The 10,184-nt window shown below is 45.5% G+C and overlaps 1 pseudogene across 1 annotated transcript, besides 1 other annotated feature; it reads left to right on the top strand.

Moving 5' to 3' along the window:
• Positions 1-1,805: 1,805 nt before the first annotated feature.
• On the top strand, positions 1,806-6,640 carry RHOXF1P1 (Rhox homeobox family member 1 pseudogene 1; annotated as a pseudogene). Its single transcript, NR_131250.1, has 4 exons — positions 1,806-2,034; positions 2,243-2,576; positions 3,903-4,044; positions 6,566-6,640. The product of NR_131250.1 is annotated as a Rhox homeobox family member 1 pseudogene 1 (transcript).
• Positions 2,361-2,532: a silencer, noted in NCBI's record as "fragment chrX:119148782-119148953 (GRCh37/hg19 assembly coordinates)". NCBI's record gives its function as "represses an EF-1alpha promoter that drives an FKBP-Casp9 reporter gene in an ReSE screen in phorbol 12-myristate 13-acetate-treated (for megakaryocytic differentiation) K562 erythroleukemia cells {active_cell/tissue: K562(+PMA)}" and the evidence as "EXISTENCE:reporter gene assay evidence [ECO:0000049][PMID:32094911]".
• Positions 6,641-10,184: the final 3,544 nt, after the last annotated feature.

Here is a 10,184-nt window from a genome sequence, read left to right as displayed (position 1 = left end):
AACAGGAGAAAGGAGAGAATTATCTTTCTGGCACAGCGGGCAAAGTGAGTGGGCATACTTTCAAGGGCCTATGAAAATGGTTTGATTTATTTTATTAAATGGGTCTGATGACAATGGTGGTTATGCAAAAATTGGATAAATTATCCCAATATTCAGGAAACCAACTCATTTCAAGGAACAATTTAATTTTTTTAAATTTACTTTTATTTCTTTTCTTTTCCTTTTTTTTTTTAAGCAGGGTTTCACTGAGTCGCCCAGGCTGGAGTGCAGTGGTGTGATCATAGCTCACTGTAGCCTCCAATGCCTGGCATCAAGCGATCCCCCAGCCTCAGCATCCTGAGTAGCTTGGATGACAGACGCATGCCACCACATTCAGCTATTTTTATTTTTTATATTTTTAGAGATGGGGGTCTTTCTATGTTGCTCAGGTTGCTCTCGAACTCCTGGGCTCAAAGGATCTCCTGCAAAAGCGTCAGGAGTAACTAGGATTACAGGTCCGCACCACCGGGCCCAGAATCGTCTGGGGGCACAATTTTTTTTTTTTTTTTGAGGTACAGGTTCTCACTCTGTCGCCCAGGCTGGAGTGCAGTGGCTTGAGTGAAGTGGCGCTATCATAGCTCACTGAACACAGATTCATCGTTTTGAGGCACATTTCTTGAAGGGAGAAACGTGGAGCTCCCAATCTGCCCTGGCTCTTTTTTATTTGACATTTTATCATTAAGGAGCAAAAGGTCAGAATGATCGTTCTAGGCAAAGAGTAGGAAAGGAGAAGCATGAGGAGGACGAGGAGGGTGGGTAACAGAAGGGGATGAGGAGCAAGGGAAGGTGGGAACTAACCCAAGTCCACAGTGCCCACCCAGCACATGGAGCACTCGCGCTTCTGCAGCGAGCCTGAAACCTAAGGCGTGGGAGCGGTGCATAGTTAGCAGACATTGCACGCTCCGCAGTCTCATCTAGAGCCTATGGAAGGGACACTTGCAGTGTAAGCCTTCTTAGATGCACTAAACACCAGGCAGGGTTCTATACCTGTACACTGACGTGGAGTACCTGCAGCTTTTGCAAGGGGCGTGTTAGGTTTCTTGCAGCTTGCATCTGAGCATCCATAGTGCCCTGAAAATCGCAGCCCCAAACTCCCGCTTCCGCAGACCCCTTGGAGAGTGTGGCGCCCTCAACTTTCTGGATGTTGCTGCAGAAACCTAGCATGCAGTCTTCGACCTCTTCATTTCATCTTAATTACGGTCCTATTAGCGGACTTTGGGTGGGAACAGAACAGAACTGGAGAGGCTCATCCATTAGTCACCAGCTACCCAGTGGGGAGAGTGGTGCCGGGAGCCCACACCGCTAGGTGCACTGACTTCAGCTTGCCTCGGCTCTCTCCTGGGGAAGCATTATTCTGGCCTGCCTGCCTGCCTGGATGGCTGGACAGAGACGTGTTGCGCAAACTTTCTCCAAGGGCTCCGGAGCTAGATTGGGTCTCGCTCCTCCGCCCCTCCCCCTGCCCCAAATAGGTTCCCACCAGACCGCTCAGCCTTTTCCTGCTGGCACTCACCCCGCCCAGGGTGGGAGTGGTCAAGGAAACCGCAAAATATAGCGCGGTTCCCCACACCTGCCCGCCACCTCCCCGCGCCTGACCAGGAGCGCGCCCCTGACTTTACGGCCACGCCCGGCCGAGAGCGCGTGCCAGCAAGGCTCGCTCTCTCTCTCTCTCTCTCTCTCTCTCTTCCCCTCTCCTCTCTCTCTCTCTCTCTCCCTCTCCTCTCTCTCTCTCTCTCTCTCTCTGTCACACACACACACACACACAGCCACCGGAGGCGTCCTGAGCAGCAGCCCACTCCCTGTCCCCTGCAGGCGTCCGACCCGAAGTCCACGCGCCGGAACTCGGACCAGGAGCCAGAGGACCCCAGCGCAGAATCCGCGGAGACGCACGGCTTCGTCGACCACGCTCCCAGGTGGCGTTCCAGCCCAGATCCGGCCACGAAGACACCGGCGACCTCGGCCTGGGTTTCCTGTTCGATGAGCTCCAGAAAGAAGACGGTCAGTGCCTGTCTGGGGACCCGAACCGGTGATTTGGTGAACTCTTGGAAAGCAACTTTCCCGGAGAGAGGAGCGTGAACCCGAGGCTACTGCGCTGTCTCTCTCAGCCACGGGTCTAGGCTGCCCTGTGTCTGGGCCAAACGCCCTGATCTCTCTCTCTCTCTCCAGCTCTCTCCTCCGACCTCTCTTTCCCTTTCCTCCTTTCCAGATGCGAAGGATATAGAGACTTCAGTGACTGAAGCTGGAGGAGACGATGAGAAGAAAATACGGACCAAACCCGAGCAGGGAGCAGGAGCAGGAAAAGAAAGTCACGTGTACGCGGGAGCTGCGGACCCCATGATCCACGAGAACCAGAAGGGCGGTGGTGGCCACCAGGAGCCCTGGCAGCAGCAGCCTGAGGAGTTGGCCCAGGACTCCTCCGCTGAGGATCCGCAACCCCAAGATCAGGAGCGTCTATTCAGCCCCAGCACGTTCGGCGGGTTGCACCTGAAGGAGCTAGACAGCATTTTCTGACCTTCTCAATATCCGGACATGTTCGCTTGGTAAGCAGCTTGCTCTGGAGGTGCCCAGTTCCCAGGACGCTAGGGCTCTTCTAGGGCCGCCTTTGGCTCTGCCCCAGTCGCCTTCCCTCTCCTCCAAAGTCAAAAGTTATGTAGGGGGCTCAAGGCCCCTGGCTATGTAGGGGTCCCAAGGCCACAAGGCCCAAGGCCACAAGGCTAAGTATGGGGCTCAAGGCCGCTCTTGAGCTGTGGGGCGGGGGCGATGCCTACTGGGCATTAAGGTATTTTTCACACAGTGTATCAACGAATCAAACTGGGAAACTTTGGCTAGACTCCTGTTTTTGTAAATGTTTTATTGGAATCGCGATTGACATCAGCGTGAGGAAAGTGAGTCCTACAGGATTGGATCTTGCCTTTATTGAAAATTTTGACAATTTGGTTATTGTGGATTTTTTTTCATCGGTCGTGATTTTTAAAATATTTGCATTAAAAATTATTAATCTTCGGGCTGGTGGGTGGCTCACGCCTGTAATCTCAGTGCTCTGGGACTCCAAGTCAGGAGGATCACTTGAGTCCAGGCGTTCAAAACCAGCCTGAGCAATATAGTGAGACTCCATCTCCACAAAATATTTTGTAAAATTAGTGGTGCGTATTAGCAGGCACCTGTAGTCCAAGCTACTCTGAGGCATCGCTTCAGCCCAGGAGTTCGAGGTTTCAGTGAACTGTGATCATGCCACTGCCCTCCACTATGTGCCACGGAGCTAGACCCTATCTCTAAAATTAGATACATAGATAGATTAGATAGATGATAGACACATAGATAGATACATAGACAGAGATATCTTGAATCGTGAGTGTTTTAGTGCTCTCTTAAATTCTGCACACAGGTGGGGCATGATGGCTCATGCCTGTAATCCCGACACTTAGGGAGGCCGAGGCAGGCGGATCATGAGGTCAGGAGTTCAAGACCAGCCTGGCCAATATAGTGAAACCCCATCTCTACTAAAAATACAAAAAAATTAGCTGGGCGTGGTGGCGGGTGCCTATAATCCCAGCTACTCAGGAGGCTGTGGCAGGAGAATCACTTTAACCCGGGAGGCGGAAGTTGCAGTGAGCCGAGATTGTGCCACTGCACTCCAGCCAGGGTGACAGTGCCAGACTCTGTCCAAAAAAAAAAAAAAAAAAAAAAGTCTGCACACAAAGGACAACCATTCCTACCTAATGCAATCCTGGGGCTAGGTATCACAGAAAAATGTGCTGGAGCGGTTGCGAGGATAGATAATTTCAAACCGGTATGAAATGTTCATAGGTGTATTTCATTTCATCCACAATTCCAAATAATGAACTTTTGTGGTTTTTTTTTCCCAGAAAGCAACTGGCAATATGCATGGATGTGAGTGAAGCTGAAGTGGAAGCCAGTAAGCCTGATGAAAGCAATTGGTCAGAGTAGCCACTCTGAAACCTGCCTCAGACCTTGGATACTTTGTCCTACACATTCTCCAATTGGCCTGTATGTGTTGCCTTTTTATGTTTGCGAAGTGAGTTTTGAATTTTAGGGGGTGAAAAGTAGGATATGTAAACATTAGCTTGTGGAAATTTCCCATTAACAGAGGGAATATGCTTTCTAATGGAAAAATAAAATTAAACAGAACTGAACTGCTACTGCTATTTCCTATACAAAATTAAGATAAAGTTCAATTCCTTCTAACAATGGTAACCTTTGGAGAACACTTCTGTATGGAGTTATGTTGTGACTGAGTGTGACTTAAGAACTACGCAAATTAATGCACCAAGGAGCCAGGATGTGAGAAGTTTCAATTGTATTTAAAATATTTAAACCAGGCTACCTTCTTAGCTAAATGACTGAATTTATAAATATTCAGGCATTGGGGAAAGGGAGTAAGTTACACAGAGAGAGAAGACACTAAATGAGTAATTAATGTATGTTTAGTTTCACTGAGACTGATGGGGAGGACATAACTTAAAAGTACTCTTGGCTGGTGGTCCTGCTGTTGTTTTTAAGTGTCTGATGAGGCCATGCAGAACGTGGCAGCACTTAATTTAAATTTTCTGGAATACTTTGATTTGTAAGCGTGAATGCTCTGCTAATATACTTGCAGTACAGTGGGGGTGTGGGGGGGCAGGTTTTCAAACTAGAAATTTGCCTAAAAATTGGAATAAACAAGAAAAATTTTGAATAAGGTTCCACTCACCTTAGAAAGCTGAAAAGGTTAAAAAAGAATTGCATACACTCAAATATATACCTGGAAGATACGGCACAAATTGAGCTTTGTGAGGGAATATTCTCTTGAGGAATTTCTAACAACTAAGGAGTTTTTGGTATTACTGGTTTTTTTGCTTTGTTTTGTTTTTGTTTTTGTTTTTGAGATGGAGTCTCGCTCTGTCGCCCAGGCTGTAGTGCAGTGGCGCAATCTGGGCTCACTGCAAGCTCCACCTTCCGGGTTCCTGCCATTCTCCTGCCTCAGCCTCCCGAGTAGCTGGGACTACAGGCGCCCATCACCACGCCTAGTGAATTTTTTGTATTTTTAGTAGAGATGGGTTTTCACCGTGTTATCCAGGATGGTCTCGATCTCCTGACATCATGATCCACCCGCCTCGTCCTCCCAAAGTGCTGGGATTACAGGTGTGAGCCACCGTGCCCGGCCTGTTACTGTTTTAAACTGGTAGGTTTTATGAAATTTTTTGGTGGGGTAGGGCACGCTCAATTTAGACCCGAATGTAACCTATGCTAATTTGAAATAGTTTTTCATTTTCCCAGGCAGTGATGATGAATTTGTAGGTCATGGGATCAAAAAGTCACTAAGATAACTTAAGTTTTATTAAGAGTATTTTTTCAAAACAAGAAGAAAACCCAGGATGAGATTATGAGCCTCCCTCTGCAGTTTGTGTGAGTGCAGTGATGGAAAGGAGCTGCAGAACTAGTGCTGGTGACTTTTAGTGAATTTAGACCTAGTTTGGCCAAATTTTCCTTAACTCTGCAGGCTAAAATATCAAGGCAATATCCAGGGCATCAGGACTATTCTGTCCCAGCTAGACAAGCCACAAACTCTCTGGGCCCCCCATGACCAAGCTTTTTTTTCAGACCATCCTTTTCAGTTTCAAGATTTTTCAGAGGATGAAGTCTGGGCCCAGTGGCTCATGCCTGTAATTCCAACACTTTGGGAGGCAGAGGCCGGTGGATCACTTAAGGCCAGGAATTTGAGACCAGCCTGGCCAACATGGTGAAACCTCATGGTAAAAATACAAAAATTAGCCAGACGTGCTGGGATACCACTGTAGCCCCAGCTACTACAAAGGCTGAGGCAGGAGGATCGCCTGGACCCGAGAGGTGAGCCGAGATTGTGCCACTGCATTCCAGTCTGGGTAACAGAGCAAGACCCTGTCTCAAAAAAAAAAAAAGTTTTCAGAGGATGAATGACCCCTTAGACATCCTTGAGGAAACCTGATTAAAAATCCAACCTGCTCCTATTGATGTAGTCACCTCAGACTGAAGATGGCCTTTTCAAATGGGGGGCCTTCCCACCCTATAACTCTAAATGGGGCCCACCATATACCTTGCTCAACTATCACCACTACCAGGGTGACACTATTCCTAATGAAGAGGGAGTAGAGGCAGCTAGACACCCCAATGGTCCACTGTCAGGATACTGACATTTCTTCATCCTATTACCAAGCATAGCGTTAACAGCAGATACTTAGTGCAGTTTGTTCACTAGACTCATATCCAGGAGCTGGAAAAACCCTTAAAGAATATTAAAAATGGGAGGAGAGAGAAACAAAGCAATAAGCATAATCCAAAACAGAACGGAAGGCAAGGGGGTACAGCATTAAGTTTCCTAAAATATTTTACCAATAAGAACTGGCCTCCAATGTAAATTAGAGTTTCTGACCTCTATCATTTTTCTTTTCTTTGAAAAACATTTAACATTTATTGCAAGGCAGTTATACTGGTGACAATTTCTCTCAATTTTGTTTCTCTGAAAAAGTCTTTATTTCTCCTTTTCTCGAAGGGTAACTTCACCGGATGAAGAAATCTAGGTTGTTGGTGTTTTTCTTTGAACACCTCTTCTTGCTCTTCGATAGGTAAGCCATTGTTTTCACCGCCTTTCAAGAGTTTCTCTTTGTGTTTGATTTTCTATAGTTTGAATATAGTAAGTTTAAATGTAGATTTCTTGGTATTTATCCCGTTTGATGTTCTTTGACCTTCTGGGATCTGTGGTTTGGTCTCTGCCATTAACTTTGGAAAATTCTCTGCCATTATTCCATCAATTATTCCTTCAATTTTTTCTCTCTTCTCCCATTATGCATAGGTTACACCTTTGTAATTGTCCACAGTTCCTTGATATTCTGTTTGGTTTTTGTTTCATTATTTTTTTCTCTTTGCTTTTCAGTTTAGAAAATTTTTATTGTCCTATTGGGAAGTTTTATTTTCATCTCTTCTCATCTCTCCTCTTTTCTTTCTTTCGTTTATTTATTTATTTATTTTTTTGAGACAGGGTCTCAGTCTGTCACCCAGGCTGGAGTGCAGTGGCATGATCATAGCTCACTGAAGCCTCCAACCCTGGGGCTCATGCAATCCTCCTGCCTCAGGCACCACGTCTGGATAATTTTTTTTCAGAGATGAGGTCTTGCTATGTTGCCCAGGCTGGTCTCACACTTGCCTCAAGCAATTCTCCCATTTTGGCCCCCTAAAGTGCTGGACTTACAGGTGTGAGCCACCATGTCCAGCCCATATTGGGAAGTTTCCATTGTCATATCTTCTAGTTTACTGATTCTTTGCTGTCTTCTCTAGTCTGTTGATGAGCCCTTCAAGACATTCTTCATTTCTATTACTATGTTTGTGATACCTAGCATTTGTTTTTTTATTTTTTTCTTAGAGTTTTTATCTTTCTATACATTACTCATCTGTTTTTGCATGTTGTCTACTTTTTCCAATAGAGCCCTTAGCATAATTATCATAGTTATTGTAAATTCCCAATCTAATCATTCTAAAATCTCTGCTGTATTTTAATTGGGTTCTGATGCTTGCTTTGTCTCTTCATAATGTGATTTTTTTTCAGATAGGGTCTCACTCTGTTGCCCAAGCTGGAGTGCAGCGGCACAATCATGGCTCACTGCAGCCTCAACCTTCAGTACTCAAGCAATCCTCCCACCCCAGTCCCCTAGTAAGTAGGACTACAGGCACACGCCACCATGCTGGCTACTTTTTCTTATTTTTTGTAGAGATGGGGTCTCTCTATGTTGCCCAGGCTGATCTAGAACTTCTGGGCTCAAGTGATCCCCTCACCTTGGCCTCTGAAGTGCTGGGATTACAGGTATGGGCCACTGCACTTGGTCCCAGAATGTGTTTTTTGACTTTTAGCAGTCTTATACGTTTTTGTTGAAAATCATACCTGATGTACTGGGTAGAAAGAACTGAGGTAGGCTGGGTGTGGTGGCTCATGCCTGTAATCCCAGCACTTTGGAAGGCTGAGTCAGAGGATCACTTGAGGCCAGGAATTCGAGACCAGCCTGGGCAATAATACAGTGAGACCCTGTCACTACAAAAAAAGGAAAAAGGAAAAAAAAAAAACTCAGGTAGATAGTACTTTTGTGTGAGGTTTTATGGTTCTCTGGCTAGGAAGATTAGGCTGTTTACTGTTGGCTGTAACTTTAGGTGTCAGAAGTTAAAGTTTGTTGAAGGGTCCTTGTCTTGGTAGGGTCCTTTGTTGTCTTTGAGTTTTTCTAGAGGCTCCTTCTTACATATAATGTGAGGCTTGCAGTCTTTTCAGCTGTAATTCACCTATAATCTGCAGTTATTATACAGGATTCTTACTGATGTGGTGATAAGGTTGGGAGGAGGGCAAGCATTCTATCATGCCATGATTAGATCTCAGTTGTTCACTGAGCCTGTGTCCCTGGGCTGTGACCTTTACAAGTGCTTCTCAGCGTCCCCACCCATCCTTTTGGGTTAGATGGCAGACTAGACGGGGCTGGAGTTGAGTACTTCCTTTCGCCGTGGTTGGTCAGTCTGGGGAAACCCAAGTTGGTTAGGCTCTGATAAAATAGTTTCTTCCCAGAGTAGTCCTTGGTTAAGGAAAACAAAGAGCTCTGGGCATATTTCAAAATGATTGCTTTTCTTGTCCACCTGCTGGAAGCAGGAAGGGATTCCCATGCCCTCCCTTCCCAGTGACAACTTGGTGGGGCTTCTGGAGATAAAACTCATGAAAATGTGCAGTCCCCTTAAGGCTGCCACCACCCTTGGAGTTTTAACTCTCCAGATAGTCCATGCTGAGCTTCTAGAAATTCAACAATGACAGTTGAAAGTTTTCCTACTCATATTGGCTCCAACTGTGGGTTTCTGCTGGTGGGCTTCTACTCCTGGTAAACTGTAATTCTCTGTATCTGCCTATCTATTCTAAGACAACAGGGAATAAATGGATGAATAAATGAATAGCAAAAATGACAGTTTGTAGCAATGAAAAAGGAATCCATCTAATTGGTCCAGGTAAAAGAACAAACGAGAAATATTTGGTCCATACCCAATGGTTTAATCTGCTTAATTTTTATCCAGAACTAACCCCCTATCTTGGTTTGCTGAATTAAAGATTCAGCTTAATATATCACTATGCAATATCTCTGGATCATAATCCATCTCGGGGAAGGACAGATTTGGTTATGGATACCTCAGAAGTCCAAGTCTCTATGCTAAACAAACAGCGGAAGAACCAAGTTAACACCTTTCAAAATTTTTCTGACTCCCTGTTGGAATTGCAGTTTTGATGTGGTGAGTAGGCGCATAGAATTAATTGGACATTCTTGGAAATATCTTCTGATCAAATGAAGAAATAGGACAATCCTGGATGTTTCCTGGGGTGTTAGGCTTAGGGACCTGCGCCAGGGCCAGTCACATTGTGAGATGCCCCTCCCAGTCCTGACTTTCACTCCTTCTTAATCAATGTTTCAATCCTGGTAAGCCCCTTAAGAAGACCAACTGAGTTAAAAGGCAGGTAGGTGAGAGAGAAAAAGAGAAAAGACAGGCCCTACTGCTTGACCTTGTAATGGGGGCTGTGGAAGGAGACATTAGAAATCCATTTGTATATGAACCTGAGTTCTGTTTTCCTTTCTCCTATAAAACCCAGTTGACCACAACCATCTTTTTGTGCCCCACTGGCTAACACTGAGTGGATGCCCTACTCCCAGCTCCCCGTTACCACACAGCTCCCTAAAAGTGAACAACAGCTCTGGGCTCTGTCATTCCCATGGATTCCTCTCTCCACTAGGTTTCCACAGCCTTCTTCTCCACTTCTGATTTTAAAACATCTTTTGTTTCATCTTTTTGCCCCTCGTTCAAAAATGAAATGGACAGAGATTCTTCCTTGCCTTCTGCCCTGCCTCTATTTTTTTTTTTTTTCTTAAACCAAAATTCTTGGGCCTATCAGAGGAAAAAGTCACGCTCCAAACCTGCACTTCTCATAGTGGCTCTAATTTAGTCTGGATGCTGTGCTTGGGATGAGTCTAGGTAAATCAGTTATGGTGTCTATGCCTGAATGTCACCACTTCAATCTCTCGTGTCCCTTGATTGTAAAATCAAGAATGTGTGTACGAGGTATCTTTTGTATTCCCAGAATCTAAAACACTGGCATGTAA

Source organism: Homo sapiens, chromosome X (assembly GCF_000001405.40).
Source record: "Homo sapiens chromosome X, GRCh38.p14 Primary Assembly".
Lineage (NCBI taxonomy): Eukaryota > Metazoa > Chordata > Mammalia > Primates > Hominidae > Homo > Homo sapiens.
This window is presented reverse-complemented; position numbering and strand designations above follow the sequence as displayed.